Source organism: Homo sapiens, chromosome X (genome assembly GCF_000001405.40).
Source record: "Homo sapiens chromosome X, GRCh38.p14 Primary Assembly".
Classification (NCBI taxonomy): Eukaryota; Metazoa; Chordata; class Mammalia; order Primates; family Hominidae; genus Homo; species Homo sapiens.
Window position 1 is genome coordinate 16,807,122 of NC_000023.11, and position 15,340 is coordinate 16,822,461.

General features: G+C 41.9%; 1 protein-coding gene across 4 annotated transcripts in view; it reads left to right on the forward strand.

The window, feature by feature from the left end:
• TXLNG (taxilin gamma) overlaps positions 1–15,340 on the forward strand; it is a 58,054-nt gene that overhangs the window by 20,656 nt on the left and 22,058 nt on the right. For 2 of the 4 annotated variants that reach the window (NM_018360.3, XM_047442249.1), the window contains exons 2-3: positions 11,453–11,756; positions 13,043–13,134. The exons of 1 other annotated variant lie outside the window; for it this stretch is intronic. In NM_018360.3, coding sequence (NP_060830.2) covers positions 11,453–11,756; positions 13,043–13,134 — 396 coding nt within the window. Of the gene's footprint in view, positions 1–4,780; positions 4,799–11,452; positions 11,757–13,042; positions 13,135–15,340 lie in introns of those variants that run through there. One more of the 4 variants, XM_024452400.2, reaches the window with a different exon arrangement.

Sequence of the window (15,340 nt, forward strand, 5' to 3'; positions counted from 1 at the left end):
ACAACAAACTAACTCCAATTCCTTAAATAATCACTTCAAATTATTTGAAGCTGTCCCTACCCCCAAATTAGACATGTCTTACCTCCCTAAATCCCAGAGTTAATCCCTGCTAAAAATTCTACGTATCTTTCATGATGTTTTCTGAATGCATATTGGTATTTCTAGTGTGCTGTGTATTTTTAGACATTTAATTTAGATTTATTTTGTAACTGCGTCAGAGATCTGTTTGACTTTGAACTTGCATTTTCCAAAGCTGATTTATAAAGTGAGGGAAACAGTGTAATAGAGAGAACATTGACTCTTGAGTTTGGTGGACCTGGTTTTGAATTTTCCCAGCCCCTTTTACTGATTTTAATATGATTTTGAGCGAGTTACTTAATCTCGTCAAGTCTCATTTTCTGTACCTGGGAACAATAAGGCCTGTATCTCAGTGAGGCAGGGAAGGTTAAATGGGGTCACTTTGAGAATACCTCACACAGTGTCAGCCTGAGGTGCTAAAGGTTCCCTTTACTTATTTGATAAGTTCCTCCTAGACTGGGAATCTGAGGCAAGCTAAGGATGTCTGTCTAGGAAAATGCAGAAATACACACAACTTTTCCCAACTGCTCCCTCTGAAGGTCCACTCTAGCTCTTGCTGGCAAGGACTGGGTAATTTGTGTCCTCTGCATATGCCTGGCCCTGGTCAAAGGTGTTTGAGCTCATGTGAGCAAGCAGTAGTTGAAATAATTAGGAAGTGAATGTGGGTGTTGGTAGAAGGGAAAGAAACCTAAAAATTTTTTTTTCCTTCTGGTTTTAATTTCCATGTTCTTAGTTTTGAATGTTTTGATCCAAAAAGCTATTACAAGTAGTTGATGAATGCAGAGTACTTCCTCATGTTCATTTGCAAAAATTTCTATGATAGTTGTTCTTTGCTCCTGTCATTTATTATTGATAAACTGGTGACCTCCCATTTTGAAGGCATCTCTTGGTCAGTTAGTGAGTCCTCTTAGCTCCAAGTATTGAGACAGTGGAAGGAAGATTGCGAAATATATCCTTTGACCGGAGGGGAGTGGCTAGGGTGAGGGATTATTCGTGTTTAAGGCTCTTGTAAACAAACACTTGTAGCACAGTGTTGTGCTTCTCTAAAAGGTACACATGCTGCTCACAAGATGCAGATGTCATAGCTTTTGTGTCTTGATTTTCTGCAGGGAAGGGTTCTAATAGAAATCCATCTGGAAACTACTCAGTGTTGGTTTCATTTTCATTTGAGATTGGAATTTAAATAAATATTTCCTCCCCTTTTGTTTTTCCAAATAAGGCACTATATTAGAGCTCTTCATTTTGCTGTTAAAAAACATGTTAAAGCTCTTGTAAAGGTAACTCATGGCACCTAACTTAAAAGGTGAAAACACGCCTGCTGTGAAAGTCTTGTCCCCACTCACCCAGTTTGTCTCCAGTAATGTTTCTTTGTGTCCGGCCAGAGATTGGATATACTACTCTGCTCATACATTTATACCTCCTCAAGCCTCATATCATGGCATATGGTATGTGCTACAGGGTATTTTGCTTTTTCCCTTATTAACGTGTCCTTACCAGTAATTATATAACCACCTTATTCTTTTTTTTAACAGTATGGTACTCAATTGGATGGATGTACAGCAGTTTATTCATCCGGTCTATTATTTATTGATATTTAGGATATTTCTGAATTTTTGCTACCATAAATAATGCTGCATAAATAACCTTATGTATTATGTCATTCACAAATGCACTGGTATATGTGTAGGAAAAACTGGTAAGAAATGAATTTGCTGGATCAAAGCATATGTGACTTGATGTTTTCTCCCTCCAACATCTTATGAAAAATTTCAAAGCTACTGCAAAGTTTATACTAAACATCAATTTTGCCACCACCTAGATTTTACCTTTGACATTTTACTCTGGTTGCTTTTTCAGTTATCCATTTATCTGTCCCTTCACCCATGAAGCCATCAGAAGTACATTATGTGCTAAGTTTTAGCAAATGCATGCAGCTCTGTAACTGAAATCCCCATCAAGATACAGAGCATTACCAACACCCTAGAGGTTCCCTTGTGCTGCTGGTTCCCAGTCAGTCCCTTCCCCGACTGGACTCCTTGGTGGTTAAGTCAATTTATCCTCCCACCAGGAATGCTTGAGAATGCCCCCCACCCCCTCCCACAGTGTTGTCGAAGTTTTTGATGTGTAAAATGATATCTTATAGTTGTTTTTTTTTTTTTTTTGAGATGAAGTTTCGCTCTGTTGCCCAGGTTGGAGTGCAGTGGCGTGATCTCGGCTCTCTGCAACCTCCGCCTCCCGGGTTCAAGCCATTCTCCTGCCTCAGCCTCCCGAGTAACTGGGATTACAGGCACCCGCCACCACGCCCAGCTAATTTTTGTATTTTTAGTAGAGATGGGGTTTCACCATGTTGGCCAGGCTGGCCTCGAACTCCTGACCTCAGTTTATCTGCCCGCCTCAGCCTCCCAAAGTTCTAGGATTACAGGTGTGAGCCACCGCACCAGGCCAAGATATTTTCTTCCAGTATTTTCTTCCAGCACTTCTCTGTGTGTGTATGTACATACACACAGATGGTTCCTGGCTTACTGTGGTTCAACTTGCATTGTTGACTTTAGGATGGATTTATCACTGTGTAACCCCAATGTATGTTGAGCAGCATCTGTATACATATATATAGTGCGTATACAAAATATACAGTACATTCTGTTTTGTAATTCATTTTTGTACATCGTATTTTGGGAGCATCTCTTCCCATTATTAAATAGGCTTCTCTAAGATGGCTGGGCCAGGAGAAGGATGTTTGAACAGTAGTAGACAGAAGGTAGTTATGAAGCAGTATATTTTTGTGGTTAAGAGCATGGACTCAGAAGCTAGACTGCTAGAGTTCAAATCTTTGCCCTGCAGTTTACTAACTGTGACCTTAGGCAGGATACTTAACTTTACATGCCATAGTTTGCTCATCTCTAAAATGGAGAAAATAATAGTGCCTACCTAGTGGCATTGTTGTGAGGATTAAGCTAATTAATATAGGAAAGTTCTTACAGTAGTGCCTGGATGTACTATTTACTGTATAAGTATTAGCTACTACTACTATTATTTATATAAGAGATTGATCCAAGAAAAGGCATCCAGAATGGGCATCAGAGAGAGAAGACAGAGTAGGAAATTGTACTGGGCATATGATATAGAATTCTCTGGTTGAGGAGATGAGGTCTGAGAAATCATTTACAATTTAATAAAGTTATTGGCCTAAGAATTTGCTTAATATTCAATAGCCCAGGTACAGAGCCTCAAGTAGGTTGTTAATTGAATAGTCCTTGTGGTAGAAAAATTGGGGCCTGCTATTTCAAGAGTATTTGTAGACTGTGGTTTGAATCAAGTCCTGTTGGAACTGGGCTTATTAATAAACAAAAAGATTTTGTAGAGCCAAAGTATATCTTTCATTAGCAAATGTAAAAAATACCCCAATACCACATCAAAATTAGTTGTACAAGAGAGAAGGGAAATGTAATACTGTCTTGCTTCTAATGATAAAATAAAAATAGTGGTATTTTCATTTTTTGTTTGTTTGAGACAGAGTCTTGCTCTATTGCCCAGGCTGGAGTACAGTGGTGTGATCTCAGCTCACTGCAACCTCCACCTCCTGGGTTCAAACAATTCTTGTGCCTCAGCCTCCCGAGTTTCCAGGCACGTGCCACCATGCCCAGCTAATTTTTGTATTTTTACCAGAGATGGTGATTTGCCATGTTGGCCAGGCTGGTCTTGAACTCCTGACCTCAAGTGTTCTACCCACCTCGGCCCCCCAAATTGCTGGGTTTCCAGCATGAGCTACCGTGCCTGGCCAATAGTGGTATTTTCTATAACTTGTGTATTAATGCCTAGGTTCTTTTTGTGGATTGTTTTCAACAGCCATTTTTGCCTCTGTATGCTCCCCATCAGTTGGCATTTGAGTACCATTTGTGCATAATAAGCTATTGCTACTTAGGAGGCTGTATGTATCAAATACGTGATATTGTAATATGTGATAAGAGTTCAGAGGCAGGAGTGTCTGGAAAGACAAAAAAATCGGAAGTATTAACTACAAATAGGAAGTGATGACATACAATTAAAAGGAAAATAGGTGATGTGGTGTTTGTGCACTATACAGATTAATTTAATATTCTTCTTTATGCCATATGACACCACCTATTATTCTGCATTACACAATAGTTTTTTGGCCTTCCTTATTTTTTTTTTAAGATGGAGTTTTCCCTCTTGTCGCCCAGGCTAGAGTGTAATGGCGCGATCTCAGCTTGCTGCAACTTCCGCCTCCCAGGTTCAAGCAATTCTCTGGCCTCAGCCTCCCGAGTAGCAGGCATGCACCACCACGCCCAGCTAATTTTTGTGGTTTTAGTAGAGACGGGGTTTCACCATGTTGGCCAGGCTGTTCTTGAACTCTTGACCTTGGGTGATCTGCTTGCCTCGGCCTCCCAAAGTGCTGGGATTACAGGTGTGAGCCACCGTGGCCGGCTTTTTTTTTTTTTTGAGACGGAGTCTCGCTGCCAGGCTGGAGTGCAGTGACCCGATCTCGGCTCAGTGCAACCTCTGCTTCCCGGGTTCAAGTGATTCTCCTGCCTCAGCATCCCAAGTAACTGGGACTCTACAGGCACGCACCACCACACCCAGCTAATTTTTATGTTTTTAGTAGAGACGGGGTTTCACCATGTTGGCCAGGATGGTCTTGATCATCTCTTGACCTCGTCATCTGCCTGCCTCAGCCTCCCAAACTGCTGGAATTACAGACGTGAGTCACCGCACCCGACCCTGAGTCTTTATATTGTCTTTTTGCTGTATAGTGGTAATAGTAAATGACCTGTATACTTTTTTTTCTTTCTTTTTTTTTTTTGAGATGTAGTCTTGCTCTGTTGCCCAGGCTGGAGTGCAGTGGCACGATCTTGGCTCACTGTAACCTTTGTCTCCTGAGTTCAAGCAATTCTCCTACCTCAGCCTCCTGAGCAGCTGGGATTACAGGCGCCCGCCACCACACCCAGCTAATTTTTGCTTTTTTTTTTTAGTAGAGACGAGATTTCATCACATTGGCCAGGCTGGTCTTGAACTCCTGACCTCAAGTGATCCGCCCGCCTCGGCCTCCCAAAGTGCTGGGATTACAGGTATGAGCCACCGTGCCTGGCCAATGACCTGTATACTTTTAATCTGAAAACAAGAGTAACTTTTAATTAAATCTCCTTATGATGTTTTGAAATAAGTGAATATTTATTCCTTTTTTTTTTTTTTTGTGAGACAGAGTCTCACTCTGTCCCAGGCTGGAATGCAGTGGCGCGATCTCGGCTCACTGCAACCTCCGCCTCCCAGGTTCAAGTGATTCTCCTGCCTCAGCCTCCCGAGTAGCTGGGATTACAGGTGTGTGCCATCATGCCCGGCTAATGTTTGTATTTTTAGCAGAGACAGGGTTTCACCATGTTGGCTAGGCTGGTCTCGAACTCCTGATCTCATGATCCACTGGCCTTGGCCTCCCAAAGTTCTGGGATTACAGGCATGAGCCACTGCGGCCAGCCTTTTTTTTTTTTTTTTTTTTTTTTTTTTGAGGTGGAGTTTCGCTCTTATGCCCAGGCTGGAGTACAATGGTGTGATCTCGGCTCACCACAACCTCTGCCTCGCAGGTTCTAGTGATTCTCCTGCCTCAGCCTCCCTAGTAGCTAGGATTACAGGCTTGCATCACCACGCCTGGCTAATTTTGTATTTTTAGTAGAGGCGGTGTTTCTCCATGTTGATCAGGCTAGTCTCGAACTCCTGACCTCAGGTGATCTGCCCACCTCAACCTCCCAAACTGCTGGGATTACAGGTATGAGCTACTGCGCCAGTCCTATTCCTTTCTTCCAAGTTGAGGTAACCATGAAGTCATCTGAAAAATATATCTGGTAAGGGACTTGTAGCTAGTTACATAAAGAACTCTTACAGTCCAACGATAAAATAACAACCCAATTAAACATGGGCAAAAGATCTGAAAAACATTCTTCAAAGAAGGTATACAAATGGCCAATAGGCACGTGAAAAGATGTTCAATATTGTTAGTCATTAGGGAAATGCAAATCAAAAACACAGTGAGGTACCATCACACTCAGTAGGATGGCTATAAAAAAATAATAATAACAAGTGTTGCTGAGGATGTGGAGAAATTGGAACCCCCATACACTTCTAGTGGGAATTTTAAATGGTACCAGTGAGCTGCGCGTGGTGGCTCACGCCTGTAATCCTAGTGCCCTGGGAGACTGAAGCAAGAGGATTGCTTGAGCCCAGAAGTTTTGAGACCAGCCTGGGCAACATAGCGAGACTCTCCCTCTACAAAATTAAAAAAAAAAAAATGAGCCTGGCATAGTGGCACATACCTGTAATCTCAGCACTTTGGGAGGCTGAGGCGAGAAGATGCTTTGAGCCCAGGAGGTTGAGGCTGCAGTAAGCTTGCATTGTGCAGTCTGGGCAACAAAGCGAGACCTCGTCTCCAAAAAAAAAAAAAAAAAGTACAGTTGCTTGGGAAAATAGTCTTACAGTTCCTCAAAAGGTTCAACATAGAGTGGTCATATAGCAATTCCACTCCTAGGACTGTACCCTGGAGAAGTGTCCACACAAAAATGAATGCATTAATGTTCATAGCAGAAATAGTCATAATTGGCCGGGCGCCGTGGCTCACGCCTGTAATCCCAGCACTTTGGGAGGCCGAGGTGGTCGGATCATAAGGTCAGGAGATCGAGACCATCCTGGCTAACACGGTGAAACCCCGTCTCTACTAAAAACACAAAAAATTAGCTGGGCGTGGTGGCGGGCACCTGTAGTCCCAGCTACTCGGGAGGCTGAGGCAGGAGAATGGCGTGAACCCGGGAGATGGAGATTGCAGTGAGCCAAGATCACGCCACTGCACTCCAGCCTGGGCGACAGAGCGAGACTCCATCTCAAAAAAAATAAAAAGAAATAGTCATAATAGCCAAAAATTGGAAATAACCCACATGTCCATCTGATGAATGGATAAATACAGTGTAGCCAAAAATTGGAAATAACCCACATGTCCATCTGATGAATGGATAAATACAATGTAGTCTCTCTGTATAAGGGATATTATTCAGCTACATGCATGGAATACTGATACATGCTATAACATGGAGGAATCTTGAAAATTTGCCACATGCAAATAGGCAGACTCAGCCCGGTGTGGTGGTTCACACCTGTAAACCCAGCACTTTGGGAGGCCAAGGTAGGTGGATCACCTAAGGTCAGGAGTTCGTGACCAGCCTGGCCAACATGGTGAAACCCTGTCTCTACTAAAAATACAAAAAATTAGCCGGGCATGGTTGCGGGTGCCCGTAATCCCAGCTACTTGGGAGGCTGAGGCAGGAGAATCGCTTGAACCCGGGAGGCGGAGGTTGCAGTGAGCGGAGACCGTGCCATTGCACTCCAGCCTGGGTGACAGAGTGAGACTCCATCTCAAAAGAAAAAATAGGCAGACTCAAAAGGCCACATATTGTATAGCTCCATTTATATGAAGTGTGTCTAGAATAGCCAAATCCATAGAGGCAGCAACTAGATTAGTGGCCTGGTGCTGAAGGTTATAGAAGCATTAAGGGTTGATAGCTAAGGAGAACTGGGTTTCATTTTCAGGTTATGAAAGTGTTGCAAAGTTGACTGTGGTAATGTTTGCACAACTTTGTGAATGCAGTAAAATTAGTGAACTGTACACTTTAAGTTAGGGAATTGTATGGTATGTGAATTATATCACAATAAAGGTGTTACAAAATAAATCGCTAATGGAACTGAAAAACTACAAATGAACCAATCTCATTCCTCAAGTAGCCTCAGGGTTAGGACAGGCCTCAGGGTTTTCTTGGTGAAAATTATTTATGCTTCCCCTTTTTTCTACGAATTTCATGCTCACTGTATTTTTGATACGGCTTGACACCATATTTTCTGGGATTGTGTGGGTTTTATTATCATTAAGTGTCTGAGAAATTCTGTGTTAGAGATAAGCAGTCTTCTATTCTCGTTTGTTTGTTTTTGTTGTTGTTGTTGAGATGGAGTCTTGCTCTGTCGCCCAGGCTGGAGTGCAATGGCGTGATCTAGGCTCACGGCAACCTCCGCCTCCCAGGTTCAAGCAATTCTCCTGCCTCAGCCTCCCGAGTAGCTGGGATTACAGGAATGCACCACCACGCCCAGTTAAATTTGTATTTTTAGTAGAGACGGGACTTCACCATGTTGATCAGGCTGGTCTCAAACTCCTGACCTCAGGTGATCCGCCTGCCTCAGCCTCCCAAAGTGCTGGGATTACAGGCGTGAGCCACCGCGACCGGCCTGTAGTGCCATTCTTATACCTAATGGTTTTCAGGGAATAGATTTGAAACTATTATTATTTTTTTTGAGACGGAGTCTCGCTCTGTCACCCAGGCTGGAGTACAGTGGTGCGATCTCAGCTCACTGCAACCTCCGCTTCCCGGGTTCAAGCGATTCTCCTGCCCCAGCCTCCCGAGTAGCTGGGATTACAGGCATGCTCCACCACGCCTGGCTAATTTTTGTATTTTTAGTAGAGGTGGGGTTTCACCACGTTGGTCAGGCTCGTCTTGAACTCCTAACCTTGTGATCTGCCCGTCTCGTCTCGGTCTCCCAAAGTGCTGGGATTACAGGCGTGAGCCACTGCGCCTGTCCGAAATTTTTTTTTTTTAATTGGGGAAAATGGTATTGATAGTACTCACTTTTTCCCTTTCTATTGCTTTTGTGTAAAGGGTCTCTTTATATATCTATGCGCCCAATTAGTACATGACATTTCAATATTTGATTAGAGGCGAAACTAGTAGTTACATGTGAAATGTAGCATTGAATTATCACTTTGCATCTGTTCTGTTAATAATAATACTGCTATAGTATGTTATTTGGGTATATTAATGATTTTTTTTTCTTTTTTTTTTGAGATGGAGTCTCGCTTTGTCACCCAGGCTGGAGTGCAGTGGCGCGATATCGGCTCAGTACAACCTCTGCCCAGCTAATTTTTGTATTTTTAGTAGAGACGGGGTTTCACCATGTTGGCCAGGCTGGTCTTGAACTCCTGACCTCAAGTGATTTGCCCACCTCAGCCTCCCAAAGTGCTGGGATTACAGGCATGAGCCACCTTGCCCGGCCTATTAACAATTTTAAGAAGTTTCTACAGTAGTGAAATCTTACAAATGATTTTTCCTAAAACTTGATTGTGAATCCTCTCCCACCCCAAGAGACGAAGTCTCACTATATTGCCCAGGCTGTCCTCAAACTTGCCTTAGCCCCCAAATAGCTAGGACTACAAGCATGCCCCACGATGCGTGCCATTGTGAATTTTTGAAAAACTTTATGGGTTACGCTTGAGAAACATTGCTCTATAGAATATGATACATATGGAAGTGAATTTTTAAAATCTTTTCAAATAACTTAAGAGTTTCAGTATTTGTAAGTTTTTTCTATCTGAATTAGGCTTAGAGTGTGGCATCAAACCATAACTCTGAAATAGATAACCCATTTCCCCTTAATGTGTTAATTTTTTTTAAGATGTCAAAGTATTACATGCACATTATTTTAAAAGTGTCATGAAAAGCAGCATATCTTTAATCTCTCTTCTTAGAGGAAAATATTTGTTTTGGTTCCTCTTACTTCTTGAATAATGTATAAATTGCAACTTTTAAAATAAACTTTACTGAAATACATAAATTGAGAAAAGTATACAAATCATAAATGTTAGGCTTAATGAATTTTCACAAAGTGAATGTGTCACCTCATCTAGACCAAGAAATAGAACACTACAAGCACCCCAGGAGGCCCCACCCCCAATGGTAACCGCTATCCTGATTTCTAGCACCATTTATTAGCTTGCCTTGTTTTTGAACTTTATACATAAATGATTTCCTATAGTAGATACTCTTCTAGCACCTTTTTCACAACATAGGTCTGTGAAACTCATCTATGTGGTTGCATCCAACAGTAGTTCATTCTCACTGCTTTGATACTATAGTTTATCCATTCTGCTACTGATAGAAATTTGGGTTGATTCCATTTTGGAGCTATTAGGAATAGTGCTCCTTTATTCTTGGACTTTGGATACACATATGTACACACTTGGGCAAAATCCCAGGAGTAGAGTTAACTGGGTTAGAAGGTATCCATATATTGCCAAAGAGTTTTTCAAAGTGTCCTTGCCAATTTGTTCTTATGAAAGCACAGTACTGGATTTATCAACATTAGACTATAAAATATAAGATTTTATTTTCCTTAACCTCTCTATCCCCTCCTACTTTGATATTTTGAGTTCTTCAGTTGCACAAAATGATTATAACCTAAAATCTCAAATATCTGCTCTCCCATAAATTTTGAAAGTAGCTTTTGTCCATTTGTGATAAGAGAAGGATACTAAACACCTCCTCACCTCAACAGTATTATTCAGAAAAGGAAGAGGCCCTCTTTCATACAGAGAGTAAATGCACAGAATTTAAATTTGTGCCACATCATGACCAGGAAGTGTTCACAAGGGGAAAAAACTCAAATAGGGTTAACAATGTGATAGAAGACAGTTACTGACATAAGAATAACATACTGGAATAAAGGCATCTTTACCATGTGTATTAGGGCAGGGATAGCTGCTTAAAATATCAGTCTCAAAATTTCCATGGCTTAGCATGAGAGAAGTTTATTTCTTGTTCACCTATAGTCCAGTGTAGGTTTTCTTTGTAAGTAGGGTGGCTTTCCTGTATGTACATAGGATATGGAGGCCTAGGCTTCATTAATCCTGTGGCTCTGCCATCCCTTAGGGTCTTGGAGATGTCTGCATTTTGCCAGAGTCGGGGAGAGATGGTTGAGAAAGAACTTGTGCTTCTAAGAATAAAAGTCTTGGACAGTCGTGTCCTATGCCCACATTCAGTTGGTGGGAACTTCACGTGGAAGTCGCCCCTTGGTGTAAGGGGGCTGGGGAATAGTCCCTGGCTGGGCACTTGTCTCATAGTGCCAACTCCACAGGAACTTGGGGGAGCATGGGGTTTTGATGGATAGCTAGCTAGCCATCCCTGCTGTACTGTCTCCTTGAGGATAAGATTAGAATAATTAATATTCATTAACTGGGGACAGTTTCACTTCTGTTAAGGTGCTAATTATGTTAAGTGGTGAATTTTTATGTGGAAATCAATTTAGATTTATAACTAAATGGGTTTCTTGCCTCCTTTGGTACTGAATAGTTGTGTGATTCATTTTAACTAATTTCCTTATACTTTATAGTTAGGTCACCTCTCAGTGAAACCTAGAAAGTACCATATTTACATCAATTTTGCAAACCACTAAGGAAGAAAAAACTATCAGGCTATGATGTTCCATTGCTTGTAAACATTGATTACATTAGATTTAACCCCTTCTCCATCTTTTTTCTCCTTCTCCTTTCTTCTAGTTTGAAATTGGCACAATGGAAGAAGCTGGAATTTGTGGGCTAGGGGTGAAAGCAGATATGTTGTGTAACTCTCAATCAAATGATATTCTTCAACATCAAGGCTCAAATTGTGGTGGCACAAGTAACAAGCATTCATTGGAAGAGGATGAAGGCAGTGACTTTATAACAGAGAACAGGAATTTGGTGAGCCCAGCATACTGCACGCAAGAATCAAGAGAGGAAATCCCTGGGGGAGAAGCTCGAACAGATCCCCCTGATGGTCAGCAAGATTCAGAGTGCAACAGGAACAAAGAAAAAACTTTAGGTAATAATCCGTTCAGTGGTTGGACGTTTCACATGCTAATCATTTTACTTGTGTTTTCTGCAGCCCAGATAATTTTGAACACAGCCACTTTAGAGGTGCTTAGCCAACACCCCTAGTGTCTTCGGTGAGGTCAGTCCATGTGTCTGCTGCAGTTATGTGCAGGAGGCGAAAACAGCAGAGAGGACGCTTAGTTTTTTTTTTTTCCAAATAATCAAGAATTGGCTAATTAAAAAATTTTTTTTGTAGAGACAGGTTCTCACTGTGTTGCCCAGGCTGGTCTCAAACTCCTAAGCTCAAGCAGTCCTCTCCTGCCTCGGCCTCCCAAAGTGCTGAGATTTCAGGTGTGAGCCACTGTGCCCGGCCACATTGCAGTTATTTCTGATCATTTTCAGTAATTGTGTTTAATCGTCTCTTAAAGGTCTTATTGGCCTTGGGTTAAATGAGAGAAGATTTCATTAATAAAATTTTATGTGAGTAGAAAAGCATTCTTTTTTGAAGTCACCCTTTTTCCCCCATAGCAGTCTGTATGTCAGAGTTATTTTGAGATATATATTTTGATGCAATATCTTACATATAAGAATGAACATTAAAAAAATAAAAATGGTACCTATCACCTAGCTTAAGAAATAAAAGATTACCCCTTACTTCGAAATGCCATTAGTCCCCTCCTAATCTCAGCCACCTGCCTCTCTCTGCCAAAGTCCTTACAGTATTGCTAAGGTCTTTCCCCACAGGAAGAGCTATCTTGTCATCCTTTGGTTAGTTAACCTTAGTTAACACACAGAATATACTTAGTAAATCATAAGAAAAGCACACGTTTTTAAATTGTTCGTAGGAAAAGATATGTTCTCCTGTGATTATGTGTGTCTTTGGCAAAGTGTAGTACCAACTGAAACTCCCTTTGAACTTGCTTCTATATTCGAACTTGGTTAGGAGGAAGCTTTAAAAAAAATTCCATGCCCTTTGTAACTTGCCCTTTGTCTTAACTTGGACATCAGTGATTAGGCAAGGAAATTTATAAGCTTTTAACAAGAGTTCTTATAAATAGCTCGCAGTGTTAGTGAATGAGTTAAGAAATTTGGGGTGGGTATGGGGAGGGGAGCGAGGCCTGCTAATCCAGAATTTAAAAATTGCCTTTTTCATTGAGCTGGTAAATCTCTTATTTATAATCATAGGTGTAAATTAGTTTACTCTGGATGTCAGAGCACGGGAATTGTTAGTAGAATTTACAGGTTAGATTTGATCTCATTCTTCTGGGACTTATTTCTTTTCTTGTTAACCATCAGGAAAAGAAGTTTTATTACTGATGCAAGCCCTAAACACCCTTTCAACCCCAGAGGAGAAGCTGGCAGCTCTCTGTAAGAAATATGCTGATCTTGTGAGTATTAAGCCAAGGATGTGAGAGCCATATAAAATATAACAAAATGTGTGTGTGCTTGATAAGTTTCTTAAAGTACAAATTTGATATGGCCTTAAATGTAAAATTATATTTTATTCTGAAATTGAAGAAGAGAATCTGTTTTGTTGGGGCTTTTTATTGGTTGTATAGTTTCATTTTATGAGGTAATATATAGGGAACATTGTAATACTAAGATGTGGCATAGATTTTCTAAAACTCAGTTTTAGAGTCTAAGTCAGCCTTTCCATTGCTATGTTGTGATGCCTTAGGTGCCACTCAGTTGGGGTGTAGTGGTTCCTGTCTTAAACTTTTCCTAAGGGAATTCTAGAGATTGAGGACTGTTTTGATTGAGATTGTGAGTTACATGAAATCATCTGCTAAAACAATACTTTGTCTCAGAAATACTTCTTTAGCATCTACTATGTGTCAAGCATCCTTTTTTCCATTTTCTAGAAACAGTGACCTTATCAAAGAGTTTGTTCTCAGCTATATTATTTTATTTTATTTTTTTGAGACGGAGTCTCGCCTGTGGTCCAGGCTAGAGTGCAGTGGTGTGATCTCAGCAGACTGCAAGCTCCACCTCCCGGGTTCACGCCATTCTCCTGCCTCAACCTCCTGAGTAGCTGGGACTACATGTGCTCGCCACCACGCCTGGCTAGTTTTTTTAATTTTTTAGTAGAGATGGGGTTTCACCGTGTTAGCCAGGATGGTCTTGATCTCCTGACCTCGTGATCTGCCCGCCTCGGCCTCCCAAAGTGCTGGGATTACAGGCATGAGTCACCGCGCCCGTCCATTCTCAGCTATATTACAGGTATTACAGGTAGCATTAATTCTCTTTTTGGAGTTTCTTTCTTTCTTTCTTTCTTTTTTTTTTTTTTTTTTGAGACGGAGTCTCGCTCCGTCACCCAGGCTGGATTTCAGTGGTGCGATCTTGGGTCACTGCATCCTCCGCCTCCCGGGTTCAAGCTATTCTCCTGCCTCAGCCTCCTGAGTAGTTGGGACTACAGGCGCGTGCCACCACGCCTGGCTAATTTTTTGTATTTTTAGTAGAGATGGGTTTCACCGTGTTAGCCAGGATGCTCTCCATCTCCTGAACTTGTGATCCGCCCGCCTTGGCCTCCCAAAGTTCTGGCATTACAGGCATGAGCCACTGTGCCTGGCCCGTGAGGGCAGTTTCAACTTGGAAACCCTGCCATCCTATTTGAATTGAAGAATGGGAAAATCATAGAACCCTTTAAAGGAATGGTTGCGGGAAGCTTTTAGAATAAGTGGTTCTAATATAAATGCTAAAATTATTGCCTTTTGTGACATACTTAGGTGAATTATCATGTACAATTTATATGCATCTTCATCTGTTAAAACAGTTAATTCCATATCATAAGCCATTACTTTTTTTTAAATCAATGATCAGCTCTAAAAAAATGAATTCTGAGGCTGGGCGCGGTGGCTCACGCCTGTAATCCCAGCACTTTGGGAGGCCAAGGTGGGCGGATCACGAGGTCAGGAGATCGAGACCATCCTGGCTAACACGGTGAAACCCTGTCTCTACTAAAAATACAAAAAAAAAATTAGCCTGGCATGGTGGCAGGCGCCTGTAGTCCCAGCTACTCGGGAGGCTGAGGCAGGAGAATGGCATGAACCCGGGAGGCAGAGCTTGCAGTGAGCCGAGATCGTGCCACTGCACTCCAGCCTGGGCAACGGAGCGAGACTCCATCTCAAAAAAATAAAAAATAAAAAAACTGAATTCTGTTAGTTTATTGCCTCAAGAATGACAGTTACAGGCCAGGCATAGTGGCTCACGCCTGTAATCCCAGCACTTTGGGAGGCCGAGGTGGGTGGATCACGAGGTCAGGAGATCAAGACCATCCTGGCTAACACGGTGAAACCCCGTCTTTACTAAAAATACAAAAAAAAATTAGCCGGGTGTGGTGGCGGGTGCATGTAGTCCCAGCTACTCGGGAGGCTGAGGCAGGAGAATGGCGTGAACCCGGGAGGCGGAGCTTGCAGTGAACTGAGATTGCGCCACTGCACTCCAGCCTGGACGACAGAGTGAGACTCTGACTCAAAAAAAAAAAAAATGACAGTTACTTTCCCTTAGTTTATGAAGTGGTCCAGGTATACCTCAGTTAGCTGGCATTCAGCAGCTTGGCACCTTTCACTATTTGTAGCAACAGGACGCCCTGTG